This window comes from Homo sapiens, chromosome 1, assembly GCF_000001405.40.
Source record: "Homo sapiens chromosome 1, GRCh38.p14 Primary Assembly".
NCBI classification, from domain to species: Eukaryota; Metazoa; Chordata; class Mammalia; order Primates; family Hominidae; genus Homo; species Homo sapiens.
Window position 1 is genome coordinate 248,066,691 of NC_000001.11, and position 27,913 is coordinate 248,094,603.

Consider the following 27,913-nt stretch of genomic DNA (forward strand, 5'->3'; position numbering starts at 1 on the left):
CCTCTATTCACTGCCCTTACTTTTGATAGGGTTTTCCCTCTTTAAGGAAACTTAAAATTTCAGAAATTTTGTCTTTACCACAAGTAGTGTGTTATTTACCTTCAGTATCCTCTATGCATTCTATAATTGTAAGCTGTCTGGTGAAGCTAGCAGTGCCAATTAGATAGTTGCAAAGATATTTCCCTGGTGCTAAAACTTAACTAGTGAAGATAGCTACCAGGGATCAGATGCTAAATACTGATTCAATAGACTTTATTAAAAGTAAATGATCACAAGCATCTACAATTTGCAGGAAAAAGCATTAATTCCAGGAGAAGACGAAGGGCTTAATGTCAGGGAGCAGTCATTGGCTATGTGACACTGATTTAAAGTGCAAGAAGTAATTCAGCAGGGCTACTAATTTTATCACAAGTTAGAGTTAATTTCCTGATTAAACATCTCATAAGTTTTGAATGGTTTATCCCTATTTGCACTAGAAATTTTACCTTTTCAATGTGCAGTTTTACCAGCATAAAGTGTATTGAAAATCTCAGTATCATATTATAGCAGAACTGTCTACTTTTACATATTATCAACTGAAACACCTTTTCAGCCCCCTAATAAACTGATTTGTTAGAAACATAGTTATACTGTATCTTCACAGGTAGTTTTAATTGGCTTCCTCTGAATTGCTGAGTTTAATTGTTCCTAGATAGTTGCATGTTTTTTAAAAATCCAGGAAAAACTCCTAAGTATAATAAAAATATTTGGTGTAATTATTTGCTCATATTATTCTTTTTGTAGATTAATTTTCTTTAATAGCTAAATAATATGAGGGCTGGCAGCCAAGATGGCCAAATAGGAACAGCTCCAGTCTACAGCTCCCAGCGTGAGCGATGCAGAAGACGGGTGATTTCTGCATTTCCATCTGAGGTACCGGGTTCATCTCACTAGGGAGTGCCAGACAGTGGGCACAGGACAGTGGGTGCAGCGCACCGTGTGCGAGCCGAAGCAGGGCAAGGCATTGCCTCACTCAGGAAGCACAAGGGGTCAGGGAGTTCCCTTTCCTAGTCGAAGAAAGGGGTGACAGACGGCACCTGGAAAATCGGGCCACTCCCACCCGAATACTGCGCTTTTCCGACGGGCTTAAAAAACGGCGCGCCAGGAGGTTATATCCCACACCTGGCTCGGAGGGTCCCACGCCCACAGAGTCTCGCTGATTGCTAGCACAGCAGTCTGAGATCAAACTGCAAGGTGGCAGCGAGGCTGGGGGAGGGGCGCCCGCCATTGCCCAGGCTTGCTTAGGTAAACAAAGCAGGCGGGAAGCTCGAACTGGGTGGAGCCCACCACAGCTCAAGGAGGCCTGCTTGCCTCTGTAGGCTCCACCTCTGGGGGCAGGGCACAGACAAACAAAAAGACAGCAGTAACCTCTGAAGACTTAAATGTCCCTGTCTGACAGCTTTGAAGAGAGCAGTGGTTCTCCCAGCACGCAGCTGGAGATCTGAGAAAGGGCAGACTGCCTCCTCAAGTGGGTCCCTGACCCCTGACCCCTGAGCAGCCTAACTGGGAGGCACCCCCCAGTAGGGGCAGACTGACACCTCACACGGCCGGGTACTCCTCTGAGACAAAATTTCCAGAGGAATGATCAGACAGCAGTATTCGCGGTTCATGAAAATCCGCTGTTCTGCAGCCACTGCTGCTGGTACCCAGGCAAACAGGGTCTGGAGTGGACCTCTAGCAAACTGCAACAGACCTGCAGCTGAGGGTCCTGTCTGTTAGAAGGAAAACTAACAAACAGAAAGGACATCCACATCAAAAACCCATCTGTACATCACCATCATCAAAGACAAAGATGGGGAAAAAACAGAGCAGAAAAACTGGAAACTCTAAAAAGCAGAGCACCTCTCCTCCTCCAAAGGAACACAGTTCCTCACCAGCAACGGAACAAAGCTGGACGGAGACTGACTTTGACGAGAGAAGAAGCCTTCAGACGATCAAACTACTCCGAGCTACAGGAGGAAATTCAAACCAAGGGCAAAGAAGTTAAAAACTTTGAAAAAAATGTAGATGAAAGTATAACTAGAATAACCAATACAGAGTAGTCCTTAAAGGAGCTGATGGAGCTGAAAGCCAAGGCTCGAGAACTACATGAAGAATGCAGAAGCCTCAGGAGCCGATGCAATCAACTGGAAGAAAGGGTATCAGTGATGGAAGATGAAATGAATGAAATGAAGTGAGAAGGGAAGTTTAGAGAAAAAAGAATAAAAAGAAATGAACAAAGCCTCCAAGAAATATGGGACTATGTGAAAAGACCAAATCTACATCTGATTGGTGTACCTGAAAGTGACGGGGAGAATGGAACCAAGTTGCAAAACACTCAGCAGTATATTATCCAGGAGAACTTCCCCAATCTAGCAAGGCAGGCCAAAATTCAGATTCAGGAAATACAGAGAACGCCACAAAGATACTCCTCGAGAAGAGCAACTCCAAGACACATAATTGTCAGATTCACTAAAGTTGAAATGAAGGAAAAAATGTTAAGGGCAGCCAGAGAGAAAAGTCGGGTTACCCACAAAGGGAAGCCCATCAGCCTAACAGTGGATCTCTCAGCAGAAACTCTTCAAGCCAGAAGAGAGTGGGGGCCAATATTCAACATTCTTAAAGAAAAGAATTTTCCACCCAGAATTTCATATCCAGCCAAACTAAGCTTCATAAGTGAAGGAGAAATAAAATGCTTTACAGACAAGCAAATGCTGAGAGATTTTGTCACCACCAGGCCTGACCTAAAAGAGCTCCTGAAGGTAGCACTAAACATGGAAAGGAACAACCGGTACTAGCCACTGCAAAATCATGCCAAATTGTAAAGACCATCGATGCTAGGAAGAAACCGCATCAACTGTCGAGCAAAATAACCAGCTAACATCATAATGACAGGATCAGATTCACACATAACAATATTAACTTTAAATGTAAATGGACTAAATGCTCTAATTAAAAGACACAGACTGGCAAATTGGATAAAGAGTCAAGACCCATCAGTGTGCTGTATTCAGGAAACCTATCTCATGTGCAGAGACACACATAGGCTCAAAATAAAAGGGCGGAGGAAGATCTACCAGGGAAATGGAAAACAAAAAAAGGCAGGGGTTGCAATCCTAGTCTCTGATAAAACAGACTTTAAACCAACAAAGATCAAAAGAGACAAAGAAGGCCATCACATAATGGTAAAGGGATCAATTCAACTAGAAGAGCTAACTATCCTAAATATATATGCACCCAATACAGGAGCACCCAGATTCATAAAGCAAGTCCTGAGTGACCTACAAAGAGACTTAGACTCCCACACAATAATAATGGGAGACTTTAACACCCCACTGTCAACATTAGACAGATCAATGAGACAGAAAGTTAACAAGGATACCCAGGAATCGAACTCAGCTCTGGACCAAGCAGACCTAATAGACATCTACAGAACTCTCCACCCCAAATCAACAGAATATACATTTTTTTCAGCACCACAACACGCCTATTCCAAAATTGACCACATAGTTGGAAGTAAAGCACTCCTCAGCAAATGTAAAAGAACAGAAATTATAACAAACTGTCTCTCAGACCACAGTGCAATCAAACTAGAACTCAGGATTAAGAAACTCACTCAAAACCACTCAACTACATGGAAACTGAACAACCTGCTCCTGAATGACTACTGGGTACATAACGAAATGAAGGCAGAAATAAAGATGTTCTTTGAAAACAACAAGAACAAAGACACAACATACCAGAATCTCTGGGACACATTCAAAGCAGTATGTAGAGGGAAATTAATAGCACTAAATGCCCACAAGAGAAAGCAGGAAAGACCTAAAATTGACACCCTAACATCACAATTAAAAAAACTAGAGAAGCAAGAGCAAACAGATTCAAACGCTAGCAGAAGGCAAGAAATAACTAAAATCAGAGCAGAACTGAAGGAAATAGAGACACAAAAAACCCTTCAAAAAATTAATGAATCCAGGAGCTGGTTTTTTGAAAGGATCAACAAAATTGATAGACCACTAGCAAGACTAATAAAGAAGAAAAGAGAGAAGAATCAAATAGACGCAATAAAAAATGATAAAGTGGATATCACCACTGATCCCACAGAAATACAAACTATCATCAGAGAATACTGCAAACACCTCCACGCAAATAGACTAGAAAATCTAGAAGAAATGGATAAATTCCTCGACACATACACCCTCCCAAGACTAAACCAGGGAGAAGTTGAATCTCTGAATAGACTGATAACAGGCTCTGAAATTGTGGCAATAATCAATAGCTTACCAACCAAAAAGAGTCCAGGACCAGATGGATTCACAGCCGAATTCTACCAGAGGTACAAGGAGGAACTGGTACCATTCCTTCTGAAACTATTCCAATCAATAGAAAAAGAGGGAATCCTCCCTAACTCATTTTATGAGGCCAACATCATCCTGATACCAAAGCCAGGCAGAGACACAACCGAAAAAGAGAATTTTAGACCAATATCCCTGATGAACATTGATGCAAAAATCCTCAATAAAATACTGGCAAACCGAATCCAGCAGCACATCAAAAAGCTTATCCACCATGATCAAGTGGGCTTCATCCCTGGGATGCAAGGCTGCTTCAATATATGCAAATCAATAAATGTAATCCAGCATATAAACAGAACCAAAGACAAAAACCACATGATTATCTCAATAGATGCAGAAAAGGCCTTTGACAAAATTCAACAACTCTTCATGCTAAAAACTCTCAATAAATTAGGTATTGATGGGACATATCTCAAAATAATAAGAGCTGTCTATGACAAACCCACAGCCAATATCATACTGAATGGGCAAAAACTGGAAGCATTCCCTTTGAAAACTGGCACAAGACAGGGATTCCCTCTCTCACCACTCCTATTCAACATAGTGTTGGAAGTTCTGGCCAGGGCAATTAGGCAGGACAAGGAAATAAAGGGTATTCAATTAGGAAAAGAGGAAGTCAAATTGTCCCTGTTTGCAGACGAGATGATTGTATATCTAGAAAACCCCATTGTCTCAGCCCAAAATCTCCTTAAGCTGATAAGCAACTTCAGCAAAGTCTCAGGATACAAAATCAATGTACAAAAATCACAAGCATTCTTATACACCAATAACAGACAAACAGAGAGCCAAATCATGAGTGAACTCCCATTCACAATTGCTTCAAAGAGAATAAAATACCTAGGAATCCAGCTTACAAGGGATGTGAAGGACCTCTTCAAGGAGAACTACAAACCACTGCTCAATGAAATAAAAGAGGATACAAAGAAATGGAAGAACATTCCATGCTCATGGGTAGGAAGAATCAATATCGTGAAAATGGCCATACTGCCCAAGGTAATTTACAGATTCAATGCCATCCCCATCAAGCTACCAATGACTTTCTTCACAGAATTGGAAAAAACTACTTTAAAGTTCATATGGAACCAGAAAAGAGCCCACATTGCCAACTCAATCCTAAGCCAAAAGAACAAAGCTAGAGGCATCACGCTACCTGACTTCAAACTATACTACAAGGCTACAGTAACCAAAACAGCATGGTACTGGTACCAAAACAGAAATATAGATCAATGGAACAGAACAGAGTCCTCAGAAATAACGCTGCATATCTATGGCTATCTGATCTTTGACAAACCTGAGAAAAACAAGCAATGGGGAAAGGATTCCCTATTTAATAAATGGTGCTGGGAAAACCCATAGCCATATGTAGAAAGCTGAAACTGGATCCCTTCCTTACACCTTATACAAAAATTAATTCAAGATGGATTAAAGACTTAAACGTTAGACCTAAAACCATAAAAACCCTAGAAGAAAACCTAGGCATTACCATTCAGGACATAGGCATGGGCAAGGACTTCATGTCTAAAACACCAAAAGCAATGGCAGCAAAAGCCAAAATTGACAAATGGGATCTAATTAAACTAAAGAGCTTCTGCACAGCAAAAGAAACTACCATCAGAGTGAACAGGCAACCTACAAAATGGGATAAAATTTTTGCAACCTACACATCTGACAAAGGGCTAATATCCAGAACCTACAAGACCTCAAACAAATTTACAAGAAAAAAAAAACAACCCCATCAAAAAGTGGGCAAAGCACATGAACAGACATTTCTCAAAAGAAGACGTTTATGCAGCTAAAAAACACATGAAAAAATGCTCACCATCACTGGCCATCAGGGAAATGCAAATCAAAACCACAATGAGATAGCATCTCACACCAGTTAGAATGGCAATCATTAAAAAGTCAGGAAACGACAGGTGCTGGAGAGGATGTGGAGAAATAGGAACACTTTTACACTGTTGGTGGGACTGTAAACTAGTTCAACCATTGTGGAAGTCAGTGTGGCGATTCCTCAGGGATCCAGAACTAGAAATACCATTTGACCCAGCAATCCCATTACTGGGTATATACCCAAAGGACTATAAATCATGCTGCTATAAAGACACATGCACACGTATGTTTATTGTGTCACTATTCACAATAGCAAAGACTTGCAACCAACCCAAATGTCCAACAATGATAGACTGGATTAAGAAAATGTGGCACATATACACCATGGAATACTATGCAGCCATAAAAAATGATGAGTTTATGCCCTTTGTAGGGACATGGATGAAATTGGAAATCATCTTTCTCAGTAAGCTATCGCAAGGACAAAAAACCAAATACCACATGTTCTCACTCAAAGGTGGGAATTGAACATTAAGAATACATGGACATAGGAAGGGGAACATCACACTCTGAGGACTGTTGTGGGGTGGGGGGAGCGGGGAGGGATAGCATTAGGAGATATACCTAATGCTAAATTATGAGTTAATGGGTGCAGCACACCAGCATGGCACATTTATACATATGTAACTAACCTGCACATTGTGCACACATACCCTAAAACTTAAAGTGTAATAATAATAAAATAAAAAAGAATTAAAAAAATAAAAAATAAAAATAAAAAAAAGAAGCATGGATGTTAGCTTGCTAGTGGGTACAAATCAGGTAGATGATCTTTCATTAATGAAAGAGTGCATGGTTAAAAAAATAAATATTATAGAAAAGTTAATATGTAGATAAATAACATGTTTTGACTAAAACATTATACACTTAAAAACCACAAATCTCTCTCCATTGACACATGGACTAATATAAATATTAACTCTATAAAGCTCTAAAAAAGTAAGATGGCATCTTTTAACTTTTGAAGTATATAATTTTTTTGTAGATACAACTCATAAGAAAAGCCCACTAATTGTATAAAACGGAATTATATATCGGACTTAAAAAAATTAAATCTCTGTTCTGTGAAATATACCATTAAAATAATAATCAGGCTAGCCAAAAAGCAAGAAAAATATTTACAGTACACATGTTTGACAAAATACTTTTCTCCAGAATAAATAAAAAATTTAAAACTGAATAAAATAAATTAAAAACATTTTGGCCACAGATATAAAGATACTTTTCTTAAAATAACATATATCAATGACCAGTAAGCATCTTAGAAGGTGCTGAACTTGATTATTCTCTAGGTAATGGCATATTTTAAAATGACGTGAAGATACCACCACTAGAAGGGTTAAAATTAAAAATATTGAAATGCCAAATGCTAGTGATGATGGAGAGTAATACGAGCTCTCAAACATTGCTGGTGGAGAGGTAAAATGTGTTAAAAAAAAAAAAAGTCAAATTATCTTTCTTCATTGACGATATGATTCTATACCTAGAAAACCCCAAAGACACAGCCAAAAGGCTTCTAGAACTGATAAACAACTTCAGCAAAGTTTCAGAATACAAAATAAACATACAAAAATCAATAGCATTTCTATACACCAACAACGTTCAAGCTGAGAGCAGGAACAGAACACTAAATAGTGAATGTCTCACTTAAAAGTGCAAGCATGGACACATGCTTGGTACAGAAGGACACATGCATGGTAACAAAAGACACTGAAGACTACTAAAGAGGTTAAGGAGAGGGAGATGTGGGGAGAAAAATTACCTATTGGGTGGTATGCTCACTACCTGGATGACAGAATTTGTACCCCAAAGCTCAGCATTATGCAATATACCATTTAACAAAACTGCACACGTACCCCTTGAATCTAAAATACAAGTTGAAGTTAAAAATAAAAATCTTAGAAGACATAGACGAAAATCTTCTTTTTTTATGGTTACACTTTAAGTTTAGGGTATATGTGCACAATGTGCAGGTTTGATACATAGGTATACATGTGCCATGTTGGTTTGCTGCACCCATCAACTCATCATTTACATTAGGTATTTCTCCTAATGCTGTCCCTCCCCCAGACCCCCAGCCCCTGAGATTCCCCAGTGTGTGATGTTCCCCACCCTGTGTCCAAGTGATCTCATCGTTCAATTCCCACCTATGAGTGAGAACATGCAGTATTTGGTTTTCTGTCCTTGTGATAGTTTGCTGAGAATGATGGTTTCCAGCTTCATCCATGTCCCTGCAAAGGACATGAACTCATTCTTTTTTATGGCTGCATAGTATTCCATGGTGTATATGTGCCACATTTTCTTAATGCAGTCTATCACTGATGGACATTTTGGTTGTGAATAGTGCCACAATAAACATATGTGTGCATGTGTCTTTATAGTAGCATGATTTATAATCCTTTGGGTATATACCCAGTAATGGGATTGCTGGGTCAAATGGTTATTCTAGTTCTAGGTCCTTGAGGAATCACCACACTGTCTTCCACAATGGTTGAACTAATTTACACTCCCACCAACAATGTAAAAGCGTTCCTATTTCTCCACATCCTCTCCAGCATCTGTTGTTTCCTGACTTTTTAATGATTGCCATTCTAACTGGCGTGAGATGGTATCTCATTGTGGTTTTGATTTGCATTTCTCTGATGACCAGTGATGATGAGCATTTTTTCATTTGTCTTTTGGCTGCATAGATGTCTTCTTTTGAGAAGTGTCTGTTCATATCCTTTGCCCAATTTTTGATGAGGTTGTTTGTTTTTCTCTTGTAAATTTGTTTGAGTTCTTTGTATATTCTGGATATTAGCCCTTTGTCAGATGGGTAGATTGCAAAAATTTTCTCCCATTCTGTAGGTTACCTGTTCACTTTGATGGTGGTTTATTTTGCCATGCAGAATCTCTTTAATTAGATCCCATTTGTCAATTTTGGCTTTTGTTGCCATTGCTTTTGGTGTTTTAGTCATGACGCCCTTGCCCTTGCCTATGTCCTGAATGGTATTGCCTAGGTTTTCTTCTAGGGTTTTTATGGTTTTAGGTCTAACATTTAAGTCTTTAATCCATCTTGAATTAATTTTTATATAAGATCTAAGGGAGGGATCCAGTTTCAGCTTTCTACAGATGGCTAGCCAGTTTCCCAGCACCATTTTTAAATAGGGAATCCTTTCCCCATTTCTTGTTTTTCTCAGATTTGTCAAAGATCAGATGGTTGTAGATGTATGGCATTATTTCTGAGACCTCTATTCTGTTCCATTGGTCTATAATTCTGTTTTGGTACCAGTACCGTGCTGCTTTGGTTACTGTAGCTTTGTAGTATAATTTGAAGTCAGGTAGCGTGATGCCTCCAGCTTTGTTCTTTTTGCTTAGGATTGTCTTGGCAATGTGGGCTCTTTTTGGTTCCATATGAACTTTAAAGTAGTTTTTTACAGTTCTGTGAAGGAAGTCATTGGTAGCTTGATGGGGATGGCATTGAATGTATAAATTACATTGGGCAGTATGGCCATTTTCATGGTATTGATTCTTCCTATCCATGAGCATGGAATATTCTTCCACTCGTTTTTGTCCTCTTTTATTTCATTGAGCAGTGGTTTGTAGTTCTCCTTGAAAAGGTCCTTCATATCCCTTGTAAGTTGGATTCCTAGATATTTTATTCTCTTTGTAGCAGTTGTGAATGGGAGTTCACTCATGATTTGGCTCTCTGTCTGTTAATGATGTATAGGAATCCTTGTGATTTTTGCACATTGATTTTGTATCCTGAGACTTTGCTGAAGTTGCTTATCAGCTTAAGGAGTTTTTGGGCTGAGATGATGGGGTTTACTAAATATACATTCATGTTATCTGCAAACAGGGACAATTTGACATCCTCATTTCCTAATTGCATACCCTTTATTTCTTTCTCTTGCCTAATTGCCCTGGCCAGAATTTCCAACACTATGTTGAATAGGAGTGGTGAGAGAGGGCATCCTTGTCTTGTGCCAGTTTTCAAAGGGAATGCTTTCAATTTTGCCCATTCAATATGATATTGGCTGTGGGTTTGTCATAAATTGCTCTGATTATTTTGAGATACGTCCCATCAATACCTAGTTTATTGAGAGTGTTTAGCATGAAGCACTGTTGAATTTTGTCAAAGGCCTTTTCTGCATCTATTGAGATAATCATGTGGTTTTTGTCATTGATTCTGTTCATGTGATAAATTACATTTATTGATTTGTGTATATTGAACCAGCCTTGCATCCCAGGGATGAAGCCCACTTGATCATGGTGGATAAGCTTTTTGATGTGCTGCTGGATTCGGTTTGCCAGTATTTTACTGAGGATTTTCGTATTGATGTTCATCAGGGATATTGGTCTAAAATTCTCTTTTTTTGTTGTGTCTCTGCCAGGCTTTGGTATCAGGATGATGTTGGCCTCATAAAATGAGTTAGGGAGGATTCCCTCTTTTTCTATTGATTGGAACAGTTTCAGAAGGAATGGTACCAGCTCCTCTTTGTACCTCTGGTAGAATTCGGCTGTGAATCTGTCTGGTCCTGGACTTTTTTTGGTGTAGGCTATTAATTATTGCCTCAATTTCAGAGCCTGTTATTTGTCTATTCAGAAATTCACCTTCTTTTCTGGTTTAGTCTTGGTAGAGTCTATGTGTCCAGGAATTTATCCATTTGACATAGAAGAAAATCTTTATGACTTGGGGTTAGGGAAATAATTCTTGGGCATGACAGCAAAGACATGACCCATGAAGAAAAACTGTGTAAGTACGACTTCATGAAAATTAAAAACTTCTGTTAAAGGGAGATTAGAAGAAAATATTTGCCAATCACAGCTCTGTCAAAGGACTTGTGTAGAGAATATGCAGGTAACTATATATTTATTAGTACATAAAAACTAAATCCAATCAGACTATGAGCAAAAGAGTTAAACAGACAACTCACAAATGAAATATATGTCAATATATGAAAATCACAAATGTGACAAAGGCCTATTCTCTAGAATGTATAAAAAAACACAAAAAGTCAACAGTGAAAATAAATGATAAAAGACATTAAGAGGCATCTTATCAAATAGGATAAACACCTAAATAAGCAAAACAAACAAAAATACTAAAATGATTTCCAATATATTTTTATAATTAAAATTAAATCTGTGATAAAATAAACTACATACGTATCAGAATAAAATTATTGGTAGTGCCAAGTGCTAAATAAGATGCAATGCAATTGGGTATTTCAAAAATTGCTAGTAGGAATAAAAAATGGTACAGCTGGCTGGGCGCGGTGCCTCACACCTGTAATCCCAGCATTTTGGGAGGCTGAGGCGGGTGGATCACGAGGTCAGGAGATCGAAATCATCCTCGGCAATATGATGAAACCCCGTGTCTACCAAAAATACAAAAATTAGCTGGGCGTGGTGACGTAGTCCCAGCTACTCGGGAGGCTGAGGCAGGAGAATCACTTGAAACCAGGAGGCGGAAGTTGCAGTGAACTGAGATCGCGCCATTGTATTCCAGCCTGGCAACAGAGCGAGACTCCATCACACACACACACACATACACACACACACACAAACTAAGTACAGCTGTTTTGGAAAAAAAAGGGGCAGTATTTTATGCAGTTAAATATATATTTATTATACCACACCAGGATGGCAGTGATTCGTTTTACAACCGAATGTTCCTGGATCGTTATCCTAGAGAAATAAAAACTTACAGTCATTCAAAAACCTGTACATGAAGGTCCATAGCTATGGACCTTCACTTGTAATAGCAAAATCTGTAAACAACACAAATGTTCTTCAATACAAATGCATAAACAAACTTTGGTACAATTAGACACTAGAATGCTATTCAGAAAATAAAAAGAACAAATTATTGACACATATGATAACTTGGATAGGGCTCAAGGGCATTGTACTTTGTAAAAAAAAGAAAAGTTAATCTCTGAAGTTTACATAATGTATGTTTTATATCTATATCTGTATCTATGCGATGAAATTATAGTGATATAGCACAGATCATTGGTCTCCAGACGTTAGGAGGTTTGGGGAGAAGATGTGACTGACTATTGAGGAATAACAAGAGGAAGTTTCTCTGTGGTAATAAAACAGTTCTGTATCCTGATTGGGGCGAAGGTTACATAAATCTACACATGTGATAAAAATTTCATTGAATTTTACAAACACACACACACAATACATATAACAACTGGTGAAATTTGAATGAGTTAATAGTATTCTACCAAAATGAATTTCCTGGGTTTGATAATGTACTATGGTTATATAACATAGTAACACTGGGACAAGCTGGGTGAAGGGTATACAGAAATTTTCTGTACTTTTTTTAATGTCCTAAAATTCAACACACAAATAACGGCAACAAAAATTCAATGCAAAAATTGTAATAATAAAGCAAAAAAGTTATCTTTAAGTTATGATTTTTCCCTAAATTGAGCTAAATACTTACTGCAATCTGAATTTAAAAATTTCAGCATTTTTTGTGTGTGAAATTGAAAGCAGAGTCTAAAATTTCTACAGGAATGAAAAGAATCAAAAACAGGAAAACTTGAAAACAAAAAGAAAGAAAAAGAACAAGACAGGATGATTATTCTACCTAATATCAAAACGTTTTATAAGGCTACAGAAATTAATATAATGTGGTATCTGTTCGGTAATAGAAATATAGACAAAGGGTAAAACATAGCCAGTCTATTAATTGCCCCACATAGATACATAATTAATAACAATACCTAATCTGTCACTGAGGCCTTTTCAATAAATGATGCTGGGTCAGTTTGTAATGATCCTACAACATATATGCAAAAACTAATTGGAAAAGAATTACAATGTTAGCATAGTAGACTATCTTTATGACTTGGATTAGGCCAAGATTTCTTAAAGAAGACCAAAAGAAAAACCACAAAATAAAAGATTGATGAATTTATCTTCATGCAACTAAAACTTTCTGCTCATGAAACAGCTCCACTATGAATAAAGATGCAAGCCACACATTGGAAGATATTGGGTAAAATATTGATATCCAACATGCACAAGGAATTCTTAACAAATCAGCAAGAAGAGTCAGCTCTCCCTCCCCACCAATATGTTAGAATAATGATTTCCTTTGTGAAGGTATCGACTTGGAAGAGACAAAAGGAAGACATAAAGGGAACTAGATGATCTTTGTTGTAGTTACAGATACATATTTTTTTTTACATCTGTAAAAAAAATTATCAAGCTGTACAATTAAGATTTGCATTAACTGTATTAAATAAATCTGTATTAATGTAAATAAATTGCACTTTGAAGATGAATGAATTCTTTTTTTCATTGCATTAGGTATTTATTTTAATTTATTAGAATTATACTTTAAGTTCTGGGGTACATGAGCAGAACATGAGCGGGTTTGTTGCATAGGAATACACGTGACATGGTGGTTTGCTGCACCCATCAACTCATCATCTACATTAGGTATTTCTCCTAATGCTATCCCTCCCCTAAACCTCCACCTCAAAGAGGCCCCGGTGTGTGATGTTCCCCTCCATGTGTCCATGTGTCCTCATTCTTCAACTTCCACTTATGAATGAGAACATGCAGTGTTTGGTTTTCTGTTCCTGTGTTAGTTTCCTGAGAATGATGGTTTCCAGCTTCATCCATGTCCCTGCAAAGGACGTAAACTCATCCTTTCTAATGGCTGTATAGTCTTTGTGGTGTATATGGGGCACATTTTCTTTAGCCAGTCTATCACTGATGGGCATTTGTGTTGGATTCAAGTCTTTGCTATTGGGAATAGCTGCAATAAACATACGTGTGCATGTGTCTTTATAGTAGAATGGTTTCTAATCCTTTGTGTATATACCCAGGAATGGGATTGCTGGGTCAAATAGTATTTCTGGTCCTAGATCCTTGAGGAATCACCACACTGTCTTCACACTGGTTGAACTACTTTACACTCCCAACAACAGTGTTTGTTTCTGGGTGCTAGAACTTCGTATATTCAAAGTAACTCCTCATTCGAAATTTTGTTTCTACCATTCATGGGCTTGTATAATCTGTCTCTATCAGGTACTCCTTCTTTAACTTAGAGATTCATGAGAACCATATCAGCTCATTTTTAAACACACAATGGGAAATCACTAAAAGCTTCCAGGGACAATGTATCTTCAATATAAGTGTCTGAAAGCTAACCCACCATTTTGAAGATTTTGAAGATTTTGAAGATTTTCTATGCAAACCTTTATTAAGAAATTAAGAGTAGAAACATCTGCAAATTGAAAATGCAATAAGAAATGAACATATTTCTAAAATTATTTAAAATTTTTATTTTATATTTAATTTCATTGTGGTCAGATAACAAGTCTGAAATACCACTTCTTTGAAACATATTTCTATTTTTATAGGTATTTTGTGCATTTTTATTAATGTCTTACATTTGCTTGGAGATAAAGTTCATTCCGTTTTTGTTGTTGTCGTCGTTGCTGTAGCTTTCGCCTGTATATTAGGCTTAATTTTCTGGTTAGAATTTTTTATTCTTCCAAAATTTTATAGGCCTCATTTACCATTTTTTAGCTCAATATGTTTTAAAATAATTTCTCTGATGGTGAATGAACCTGGTATGAGTAATGAAATTTCCGCGACAACATGTACTTGTGTAATTTTCATTCATTCTAAGAGAAGATTTTTTAGATGGTATAAATGACAGAATTTATGCAGTTCTGTTCCTTTCTCACCCTAACACTGGGTAAGGAGATAATTAAAAAGAGTAGCAAACTTTTAGTCTTAAACAAATGATGCTATCTCCTGTCATCCTCAACTCTTTCAGGGAGACAAGTGTTTACTGAATAACCTTCTCTTGAGACATGGGCTCAGGATTTACATGCACTGGTTAAGGTACTATCTTAAATATATTACTGCTTTGGAAACTGAAGCTCTATATGAAGCAGGAAACTCCTCTCATTTGTTCTAAAACAAGCCCCTTTTGAAATTCAGGATGGTCTGAAATGGCGGGTTAACTTTCAGACACTTATATTGAAGATACATTGTCCCTGGAAGCTTTTAGTTATTTCCCATTGTGTGTTTAAATAAATCATGCTGCTATAAAGACACATGCACACGTATGTTTATTGCGGCATTATTCACAATAGCAAAGACTTGAAACCAACCCAAATGTCCAACAATGATAGACTGGATTAAGAAAATGTGGCATATATACACCATGGAATACTATGCAGCCATAAAAAATGATGAGTTCATGTCCTTTGTAGGGACATGGATGAAATTGGAAATCATCATTCTCAGTAAACTATTGCAAGAACAAAAAACCAAACACCACATATTCTCACTCATAGGTGGGAATTGAACAATGAGATCACATGGACACAGGAAGGGGAATATCACACTCTGGGGACTGTGGTGGGGTGGGGGGTGGGGGGAGGGGGGAGGATAGCATTGGGAGATATACCTAATGCTAGATGACGAGTTAGTGGGTGCAGCGCACCAGCATGGCACATGTATACATATGTAACTAACCTGCACAATGTGCACATGTACCCTAAAACTTAAAGTATAATAAAAAAAAAGAAAAAAACATATTATTTCTTAAGTGTGTTTTACGTACAGGAAATATAGCCTTTATCATAAAACTCTCTAAGACAATGTGATAGCCTGTCTCTGATTGCAATTTGGCTTTGATAACCACAGCTTTCTGCCATCATTATCTAGCTTGTGTCTTTATAAATAAAATAGTCTTCTTTTTTTTGTTTTGCAAACCCCAAACCTTTAGAAGGTGTCCCAAACTTTTCATTAGAAATATCTCTACTCACCTATGCCTTGGCAGAAGTAAGGTGACTCAATTATGTATAAGGTTGTTGAGTGTTACTCAGCTTTGATAACTCATTGTTAGTAACTGTTAACATTCAGCATGATTATGCAATTCAGAGTTCATATCCATGGATCTATGTCCATAAGTCAAGGTAACCTTAAAACATGTGTAGAAAAGAGAACTTAGTTGTAGTTTAAAGCAATTTTCCAATGTGATTACAGTGAGACTCTGGGAAAAGATAAATATTGCTTAAATGAAAAATTACATAAATTTAAAAAGGTTTGCCTTTAAACACCAAATAAAAACAGACTGTGGAATAAATACAAAAGAAATGTGACAATATAGCAGTTACATTTGAGTTGTGTACCTCCCCTTTTTCATGCAACTATATTTTAAAATATAATTTTAAAATAATGTGATTTGTCTTTGGTGGAGTCCTCATATTTAGTTTTTAATCATAGAGCATACACATAGGAAATAACACTCAAAATACGTTATTGAACAGAAATAAACTTTTCCAGGTTATGGTACAAGCTCTGGAGTCACTTTTTAATATTTCCACGCTATGTGAAATTGGAAACAATATTTAACTTTCCATTGTTAATTTCTTTTTTTAGAAAGTAGGATATATTGTCAACAGTACTTATATCATGGGGTTGTTTTAGGATACAAAGTAATATATAGATTTTACTTCACTTGAAGAAAAGCACATAAATGCTCAAAAATGGTATCTCTCAATACAATTAGCTCACTTCATTCTTAAAAATATCTTATTATATCAATGCACAAACTTAATTTTCTGTTCATGAACTACTAAAGGGAGAGAATTACAATGTGTTAAAATGTTGATAAATTCAGGAACTTAGAGTCATTTGACACTAGATCATCTTGACCTGTGGGCCTCATTTTGCTGGTGTTTCAGGTTTACACATGTCCCCAGCCACCGTTTCAGGGCTTCCTTGACCTCACTGTTCCTCACACTGTAGATGAGGGGGTTTAGTAAAGGGGTGAACATACTATAGAAGGCTGACACAACCTTGTCGTGGTTAGTGGACCTGTGGGATTTGGGTCTCATATAGGTAAAAATGGCAGCTCCATAAAAGAGTCCCACCACAGCCACATGTGAAGAGCAGGTGGCGAAGGCCTTCTTGCGGGCTTCTGTAGAGCGCATGTGCAGAACAGCAGCGAGGATGAGACCATAGGAGGACAGGATGAGGGAAAAGGGGACCAGGAGCATTAACACACAGCAGATGTACATGGCGTTTTCGAAGACTGAAGTGTCAGCACAAGCCAAACGCACCAGCACGGGGGCCTCGCAGAAGAAGTGATCGATCTCGTGTGCACCGCAATATGGGAAGCTCAGGGTAGCAACAGCCTGCAGGAGCCCGTCAGCTGCACCCAGGAGCCAGGACGACATGGTCATCCTCAGGCACAGCTGCCAGCTCATGAGAGTGGGATATCGGAGTGGGTGGCAGACAGCCGCATAGCGGTCATAGGCCATGGCTGCTAAGAGGAAGCACTCTCCACCACCCAGTGTGGGGAGGAAGAAGATCTGCACACCACAGCCAGCGCGGGAGATGGCCTTATTTCCGGTCAAGTAGTCAGCCGCCATTTTGGGCACAGTGGTGGAAACCAGCATCACGTCCATGAGGGAGAGTTGGCTCAGGAGGAAGTACATGGGCGTGTGGAGCCGGCCGGTCCCGGTGAATCAGGAGAATCATGAGGGAATTGCCAAACAGGGAGGTCAAAACGATACTCAGAACCATCATGAAGAGGACTTGGTGGGCTCTGGTGTGGTTAAAGAGTCCCAGGAGAATAAAGTCTGGGGTAGTATTTCTCATCTCCATAATTTCCCCTGGTGTGATGGTGCAAATGGAAAAATAGAGAAGGAAGAGGCTTTTATCATCTGAATAACGAGCTAACTTCCCTCTTTTTTTTCATAGAAAATTCACAAATGTCATGGTTTGAATATTTTAGACTTCATCTCAGACACAGATGGTCTCATTCAGGGACCTCCAGAAAGGCAGTGCCAAGGACTCATTAAATTACTACATCCAGCATGTGAGCATTCAGATGTGAGCAGCCACAAACACACAGTAACACTAGCATCTTTGAGATGATACCTTGTCTGTGACTAATAACACTTCATTTTTAAGTTGTTTCCTGTCCTATACTTACTCCAAGTACTACTTACTCATTATAGTTACTGCTATTCTCTTCCAGCATTTACCAACATCAAAGATTCTGTCATGCCATCAGGGAAATAAACAGAGATTATAGGACAATAAAACAGGCAAAATAGGCAAAGATTCTACCTAATCAAGCCTGTGCCAAGCCTTGTCGGTTGCATTACTGTCTTCCCATATAGTGTATGCACTCCCCTTATTTTACATACTGTTTAAAGTATCTTTCTCATGTGATTGCCACAGCCCACTGACTCCTTGACTGCAGACCTCCACTGCCTCCATTATAACTTTAAACCACCCTCAGACTCATTTTATTAATGCAGAACTCATGGATAAAAAAGCACTCGACATGGCATTAAAAAGTCCATCTCAAAAAATCACTACTGTCCAAACCACCATCGCCCTGGTATACTTATGTAACAAACCTGCACGTTTGGCACATGTATCCCAGGACTCAAATAAAATAATAAAATAAAATAAAATAATAAAATAAAATAAAATAATAAAATAAAAAAATGTGTGCAGAGAAGCACCAAAAAAAAAAAAAAAATCACTACTGTCTAGTTATCTTTTTCCAGATTATAGTAGGTGTACCACTGCTAGTATGTGTCATGATTTTAGGAAGTATGTGAAATAACATATTCTACCTGCAAAGTTACATAACTTGTATTTGTGCTAAGAAAAAAAGTAAACATGAAAGCATGGGAAAAAAAGAATCATTTCTGTCATTTTACATTATAAGGAGAAAGTTATATAACATTTCTGTTTTGTTTTGTTTACTTAAATGTTTTAAACCAGTGGTCCCCAAACTTTTCTACCAATGGGGGTTGTGGGAGAGGGGATGCTTTTGGGATGATACTGTTTCACCTTGGATCATCAGGCATTAGATTCTCATAAGGAGCATGCGATCTAGATCCCTCACACGTGCAGTTCACAATAGGGCTCACACTCCTATGAGAACCTAATGCTGCTGCTGATCTGACGGAGGCAGAACTCAATGGGTAATGCTTGTTCACCTGCTGCTTACCTCCTGTGCAGGCCAGGTCCTAACAGGCCACAGTCTAGCATTGAACTTTCTAAAAAGATTACTAAAAAAAAATTACATGAGTTTTGCATATCAGAGTTTGAAAATAGTTTTTTAAGCCATAGTGCATATTGACACAAAATTTTTATTTTTAATTTAATTTTTTAGTTTAGATCATTTTATGTTGCCATTTTTTCATATATTCAGAAGCTTAAAAATCACAGCATAAAATATTAATTAGATTAGTGAGCTGAATACTATGTTGACATGATGGTGAAAGTCTAAGATTTGAAAATTCTTAGACTTTCTAAATGGTTATACTTTTTCATTCTGAGTGGTTATACTTTTTCAGAATTGAATTCTCTTCTCTACAGGTGGAGGCAAAGAGTAAATATCGCTTTAATTTGGAACCATTGCTCTTTTCTTTAACATTCAAATGTAACAAAAATAAATAAACCTGTATTATGCTAAGCTGTGAAAAATTATGATGTATAATATGGTTATAGATGAGACTTTTCAGCACATTGTATCGGTCAGATAATTTAATAGAAAAGTTAGTTTAACTGTATTAATTCTTCTTTCAGGTATACGGAGGTATTGCAGCTTGATTGTTTTTACTAATTATCATTTTTGAATAAAGGATTTTTTGGTGTTTTAAATATACAGCTATATTTATTTGTTAAGTGGAATATTTATCTCTCATTTAAAGGCTATATTAACTCAGCAAATTATAAGAATGTGAACAAATGCTGATAAATATTTCTTCTTTAAGGCAATTTGTGGGCTGATATTAATTCTAAGCTATTAAATAGGATACCTGGATTTAAATAAAACATTTTAATACTTTTGTATTTTTATGTATAAAATATATATCTTTTTATTTATTTTTCCACATACACTTATATATACATTTCTATTATATATATTTATATTTATTTCTATTTGTCTTTCTTAGCTCTTCTAGGCACTTTATTTAGAAATAGCTGAGGAATGTTGTGTCTATTAGTGTCAAAGCCATGCCCTTTCTGAAGCTGGTAGGTAAACTGATTATCGTCCCCTTCCCCACCTTCATGCTTACTTGAAAACACACACAGATCACTGTTCTGGAACATTAGAGTTCCACTCAACAATCTCCTTCTCTCTTCTTTCTGGCATCCTACCCTCCACAAAGGCAGTGTCTCTATGTCCACAAGCTATTGATATAACATGGAGAAATTATTGAAACAGCCATACTCTTCAGTAAAAAAAAAAATCTTCTAATACAAATTCAATCATTTGACCTAATTAACTGCTTTATTCAAGAATTTTTGAATTGGTGTTTCTGGGTAGACACAGACTGCATCTTACATTTTCAAAACACCCTGTGGATGACAGGACAACATTTAATTTGTGTGATTTGTGCCTGCAACTTTACAAAGGTTACTTTGCAATTCAAAATTCATATATAAAATGCTGAATACATAATAAATACGAGTAATTTGAAATTACTACCTAAAATTAAAGAAAAATAATTATCAAACAAATTGACTCACCTTTGCAGTAGAGAATCACAGCCAGTGTGACATATATATGGGACTGAATCTTTCTGATGGGTTGAGTACAAATGTTTGCTTAACCTCAGTATTGTGGCTACTGCTTTGTGCTTTTTGCTCTATTTAGTTAAAAATCCTCTGTGGTCACTGAAAGTTTCTAACAACCAAATATCTTCCCTGGAGCTATGCCACTTGGAAAGGTATATCATCTTTGGCAAGGGAATACAGATTAAAGTATTTCCTAAGGGTAAATGAATGTAATGAACAAATTTAGCACCCAAGTTTTGCTAAAAGCAAAAACACTCTGAATGGGAATGTGAACAGATATGTCCCTTGTAAGGATAGCAAGCACAATGAATTAGTGAAGTGAAAGTCTAGAATTCTGATCATTGATAATCCTTGAATATATGTGACTTAATTACCTGAAATAAATTTTTAAATTTTCTGAAATTGTATCATGAAAATAATAATAGATTTTATTTATTCAACATTTCTACATGCTAGTGAATATGCTCAGCATTTTACATACATTTACACGCGTGCTATTTAATCTTTTAGTTAGCTGTTTGTTCTATGAACTTTTACATTAATATAGCAATGTAAACAATGTTAATGGTTTTAAATACCATACCTATATTTAACTATCACGAGGTAGCAGAGCGGAAGAACTTTAATGTTCAAATCATAGACTTGTGGTTCTTAAAGGTTGAGGAACATCTGAATCACTCAGAATACTTAGGAATTACACTTTGAGAAATACTGCCTTTTATAAAAAAAAAAATCTGAAGGTGAATTTCGACTATTTTGAACTGGGCCCCAATGCTTGGATAGCCTATAAACTAATCAATTCCCAACTTTACATGTTTAAATGTTTTTGTGTTTTGTTTTTAATCTCACTTCTATTTCTTACGCATTTCATGATTTTGGATAAAATGATCTTCATGTTCCTTTCCTATAAAAGATGCATAATAAAATTGCTTACTTTGTAGCATTATAGGAAGGAATAAATAAAATATTGGTAAACGTTCTGGGAGAGTGTCTGGCCCATAGTATATTCTCCATCCATGTTCATTGATGTCATTATTGTAATTGTTCTGAAATAAAAAACAATCCCTGCAAGGCAGAGTAAAGTTGATTCTGGCCTACATATTGTAAAAAGTTATCTAAAACAAGATAAGGGCAGGGTAGCCTGTTCTTTCGGTGTTTAATAGTCCTGCTCAAAGACTATTTAGTGCTCTGGGTGAATGCTTCTGTGTTTGATTTGCCATTTACCATAAATTACAGCCCAGAATCTGTGAAGTTGTTTTGTCAAGTAGACATGTAAAGAACTTCTGTCCATGCCATATTAGATATCAACCAGTTTTATACTAATGGAAAACAAAACAAAAATAATGAATTTTTTTTTTGAAATCAAATTCACAGTGTCTTTTCCAATACCGCTTCTCCAACTCTCACACCAACTAGGTGTCTTACTATTCAATTTAATCCTGACACTGACCGGAGTCTGGAGCATCAGACTCCAGATGCTGATGGAGTCAATCCCACAAGACTGCCTTCTCTTCAGATGCCAGTCTCAAGTAGGGGATATCCAGGTTACCTCTACCTGATTTGGATACAAACTTGGAGGATCTCACAACTACTCTGCTTCAGGTTATATAACTGGCTGGAACGAAGCATGGAAATGAGGAAAATGCTACCCTTGCTATTATAGTTTATTATAAAGGACGCAAATGAAGAATCAAATGAAGAGGTACATCTGGGAAGCTCCGGAAGGGTCCCAAGCACAGGAGCTCCTGTGCCACCCTCTGGGCAAGGAAATGTGTTTGCCAACTCAGAAGCTCCCTGAACCCTGTCATTATGGGTTTTATGGTGGCTTCATTATATAGGCATTAATGTGGCTGTTGGTAATTAACTCAATCTCCAGCCCCCACCTCCCCAGAAGTTGAGTCATGGGGCTTGAGATGGAGCAGGGAGCCCTCTTAGTGACCTGTAAGTTCCTCCAAGTGCAGAGATAAAGGAAAAGCTTAAGTTCCTTCGGGGAAATTCCAGGCACCTAGCTAGTCCTGAGAAATAAATGAGCAACTTCATAAGCAAGAAGATAATTATAGCCTAATGCAATAGCCAAGGAAGTTAAAATCACAGGGTACTTAGTTCCTTTATAAAAACTAGAGATAACAGCTTAACATTTGTCCCTGAGTTGTTTTTCAGAAACTTGGAATCCCACTAAATAGCTCTACTGGCACATAGACCTCAGATAAGGAGGAACTGAGGACAGAGCTCGGACAACCATGTTTTCTTCTGAATTTCTTCCTGAAGGTCCTGGAGGAAGTCACACCCATGGATGAGAGTTAACATTGTTTTCTGCTGACTCTAATTTTTTAGACAAAGCTTTACTTCCTTAACCAATCACAAATCAGAAAATTTTTGAATCTCCCTATGATGTGTGGGCCCCCCACTTTGAGATGTCCCATTTTTTCAGGTTAAACCCATGTATAACCTCCATATATTGATTTATGACTTTTCCTGTAACCTCTTCCTCCCTCCCTTTAAAAACTTACCTGTAGCCATCCATCAGAGAGTTCAGGTCTTAAGCATTAGCTGCTCACTTCTCCTTGCTTGCCCCCCTGTAATAAATTCCTCCCTTTCTCTTGCTGCAATCCCCATGTCAGCATTTGACTTTGCTGTATCAGGCAGGCTGACTTGAGTTTCGTTTGGTAACATCTCTGTGGACTTGGGGTGTGCCACTCTCAGGGTATGTAAATGTGTTTGCTAACACAGAAGCTCCCTGAACCCTTTCGTTTAGTATGTTTTTTAATTTCTAGTTTTTGGGGTATATGTGCAAATTTGTCATACAGGTAAATTGTAGGTCACAGAGGTTTCATGTACAGATTATTTTGTCATGCAGGTAATAAGCATAGTACCCAGTAGGTGGTTTCTCATTGTCTCTCACCTTCCACCCTCAAGTAGGCCCCGGTGTCTGTTGTTCCTGTCTGTGTGTCCATGTGTACTTAATGTTTAGCTCCCACTTATAATGAAAACATGCAGTTTTTGGCTTGTAGTTCCTTGGTTGGTTTGCTTAGGCTAATGGCCTCCACTTCATCCATGTTGCTGCAAAGGACATTATCTCAGTCTTTTTGTGGCTGCATAGTATTTCGTGGTGTATATGTACTACGTTTTCTTTATCCAATCTACTATTGATGGGCATGTAGGTTGATTCCATGTCTTCGCTATTGTGAATAGTGCTGTGATGAACATACATGTGCAGGTTACTTTATTGTAGAACAATGTATACTCCTTTGGGTATGCAAGTAATATTGAGATGGGTGGCTTGAATGGTAGTTCAGTTTTAAGTTCTTTGAGAAATCACAAAGCTGCTTTCCACAATAGTTGAACTAATTTACATTTGCACCAGTAGTGTATAAGCGTTCCCTTTTCTCTGCATCCTCACCTTTTGTTATTTTTAGATTTTTTTAGTAATACCCATTCTGACTGGTTATGAGATGGTATCTCATTGTGGTTTTGATATGCATTTCTCTAATGATTAGTAATGTTGAGTACTTTTTCATATGCTTATTGGCAACATGGATGTCATCTTTTGAAAAGAGTCTACTAATATTCTTTGCCCACTTTTTAATGGAGCTGTTTGTTTTCTGCTTGATTTGTTTAAATTTCTTTATAGATTTTGGATAGTAAACTTTTGTTGCATGTATATTTGCAAATATTTTATCCCATTCTGTAGTTTGTCTGTTTATTCTTTTGATAGTTTATTTTGCTATGCAAGAGCTCTTTAATTTAATTAGGTTCCACTTGTTAATTTATGTTTTTGTTAAAATCAATTTTAGTATCTTCATTGTAAAATCTTTGCCAGGTCCTATGTCCAGAATGACATTTCCTAAGTTATTTTTCAGAGTACTTAGAGTTTAGGTTTTATGTTGAAGTCTTTAATCCATCTGAAGTTGATTTGTGTATGTGATGTAAAAAGGGTTCCAGTTACAATCTTCTGCATTTGACTAGCTAGTTATCCCAGCACCATTTATTGAACAGGAAGTCATTTCCCCATTGATTATTTTTGTTGGCTTCGTTGAAAATCAGATGGCTCTCGGTGTACGGCATTATTTCTGGGCTCTCCATTCTGTTCCGTTGGTCTATGCATCTGTCATTGTACCATTAACATGCTGTTTTGATTATTGTAGCCTTGTAGTATAGTTTGAAGTCAAGTAATGCGATGTCTCCAGCTTTGTTCTTTTGGCTTAGGATTGTCTTGGCTATTTGGGTTTTATTTATTTATTTTTATTCCATATGAATTTTAAAATTGTTTTCTCTAATCCTGTGAGGAATGTCATTGATAGTTTGACCTAGGAATAGCATTGAATCTGTAAATTGCTTTGGGCAGTATGGCCATTTTAAGAATATTGATTCTTCCTATCCATGAACATGGAAAGTTTTTCTATTTGTTGGTGTCTCTCCAATTCCTTTGATCAGCATTTTATATTTCTCATTGTAGAGATCTTTCACCACCGTCATTAGCTGTATTCTTTTCATGGCCATAGTGAATAGGATTGAGCTCCTGATTTGGCTCTTACCTTGGCTGCTATTGGTGTATAGAAATGACACTGACTTTTGTACATTGATTTTGTATGCTGAAACTTTGCTGAAGTTATTTATCAAATCAGGGAGCTTTTGGACAGAGACTATGGGGTTTTCCAGATATAGAATGGTATCATCTATAAAGAGAGATATGTTGACTTCCTTCCTTCCTGTTTAAATGCTTTTCATTTTTCACTCTTGCCTAATTGCTCTGGCTAAGACTTCCTACATAATACATATTAATACTTAATGTGTATGTACCTAACAACATAATGTCAAAATAGATGAGGCAAAAACATATAGGACAACAAAAGAGAAATACATAAATCTGCAATTAAAGTTGGATATTCAGCACCCCTCTGTTAGTAACTGATACATCCAGAGGCAGGAAAACAGTAAGAATATAACTGAACAGCACCATCAACCAACTGGATCTATTTCACATCTGTGGACTACTCCATTCAACAACATTAGAATACACACTCATCAAAGTACACCACATTCTGGTCTATAAAACAGACTTTCACAAATTATACCTGCCTCACAGTCTTCTTAGAAGGGTTACACTGGTTAAACCAAAACTTTATTGTCACTAAGAAATTGTAAAGAATCTCTAAACTCATTATAAGCTCCCAGGCTTCATGGAGACACCATCACAGAGTAATTCATTACATCCTGGATTTTTTTTAATTGATCGCACCTACTGAAACCCCTTGTCTATAATATCCATCACCGCTCCAACTTGTTAATGAGTAACTTCCATCTCTGCAGAAAGAAAAAGATGCTCAATCTTTGGTCAGAGCCTCCAAGGAGTATGATTGAATCTTTGACAGCCATATTTTCCTCTAAAGAATTTATGTTTCTGTGCAGATGAAGATGGAAATGGAAATGTAAAAAGGAGATGCTGAGAGGGGCTGAGCCTTGTGCAAAAGTAGAGAGTGGGTTTAGGCAGGAGCACGGTCATTTCATACGCTGTCACAGGAAACAAGGCTGAGTATATGGTACAGAATGAGGGAGGCTGATACAGTTCATGGAAGAAAAGTTTGAAATCTGATTGTTTTATTAACAGGTTTGTTTATTTTTCCCAGAGGAGTCTAAGAGATGTGGAAGTGGGGTAAGGTTTGGGGAAAGCAGGAGGAGGCATGGATCACTACTTTTCAGAGAAAGTCTGCAGAGAACAAGAACATACTGTGACGTGGCAAAAGGGCCATGAGATTTGTATTCATAAATCTGAGATGTATTGTCATAAATTTGAGGTGAGATGCATCATCATATATTGGACTTTCCTCAAGTCACGTTTCATTGCTGTGTATGGATCTTACAGGGACGGTAACAGGCTGAGAATGAGTTTTACCTGGGTTTGAGTTTTGCACTGAGTTAAATGCAAGCAGCACCACATTGCAGCAGGGAAAAACATAGAAGTTACCAAAGACTAACAAGAGCAATAAAAAATCTGTATGTGATCATAACTGGTCCACTCTTCTTATTTAAAGCACTAGAATGGCTTTGTCCAGTTTCGTACTTCATCGTATTTGCATCCAGTATTTATTGAGTCTCATCTCATCATCTCCTAGGACAAAGGGTGCCAAGATAATTCAAGAATCCAGCATTACTTTAGTTCCGGTTCCATCCATGTTGTTGCAAATGAAAGGAATTCACTCTTATTTTTTTTTATGGTTGAATAGTGTTCTATGTATCTAGTAAATTTTCATTATCCATTATATTACATGAAATAAGCCAGGCACAGAAAGACAAACTTTGAGCATTCTTGCTCATATGTGGGAGCTAAAATTAAAAAATAATAAATATAGTAGAATGACTGTTACCAGAGGCTCGGCAGAGTAGAGTAGAGTGGGGAATAAACTGGAGATGATTAATGGGCTCAAAAATACAGTTAGGATGAATAAGACTTAGAATGTAGTAGCACAACAGGATGACTATAGTTAACAATAATTTATTGTATATTTCAAAATAACTAAAAGTGGAATTGGAACATTTCTAACAGAAAAAATTAATAAATGCTTGAGGTAATAGGTACCCCAAATACCCTTATTTGCTCATTACACATTGAATGCCTGTATTGAAACATCACATGTACCTCATGAATATATGCAACCATTAGATAATCATAATAATTCTAAAAAATTAAAGGAAAAAAACAAAGAACATGGATATTAATTTTATAGCATTATTTCTAATTTCTGACATAAAATATAGCAGTTAGTGCCTTCAAAGATAAAAAAAGAACAATATAACCCCAAATAAAGTGTTCTTTTCTAGTTAACCAATGTATGGATTAAAGAGGTTAAGAGATGCTACAGTTGATTGAGCCCTTCCTCTGCAACAGACACTATGTAAACATTTGGCATACATCATTCTATTTAATTATTAGAATGTCCCTCAAATTAGTCCAGTTGTAAAGATTAGTAACAGGCTGAAATCTTAAGTAATTTTCCCAACTCAGCTTCCTAATTAGTGGCATAGCTGTCAGACTAGAGTATTCTCTCTGACTCTAAATGCTCATT

General features: G+C 37.1%; 1 protein-coding gene, 1 long non-coding RNA gene and 1 pseudogene across 4 annotated transcripts in view; 1 reads left to right on the plus strand and 2 right to left on the minus strand.

Annotated features, from left to right (window-relative positions):
• OR2L13 (olfactory receptor family 2 subfamily L member 13) overlaps window positions 1–27,913 on the plus strand; it is a 163,987-nt gene that overhangs the window by 129,514 nt on the left and 6,560 nt on the right. The gene's annotated exons all lie outside the window — the stretch shown is intronic.
• The window catches only part of LOC105373275 (uncharacterized), a 47,838-nt gene that overhangs the window by 18,986 nt on the left and 939 nt on the right, over window positions 1–27,913 (minus strand). For both annotated transcript variants that reach the window (XR_949369.3, XR_949368.3), the window contains exon 2: window positions 16,061–16,215. This is a non-coding gene — a long non-coding RNA (uncharacterized LOC105373275). The remainder of the gene's footprint in view (window positions 1–16,060; window positions 16,216–27,913) is intronic.
• Window positions 16,943–17,906, minus strand: OR2T32P (olfactory receptor family 2 subfamily T member 32 pseudogene; annotated as a pseudogene).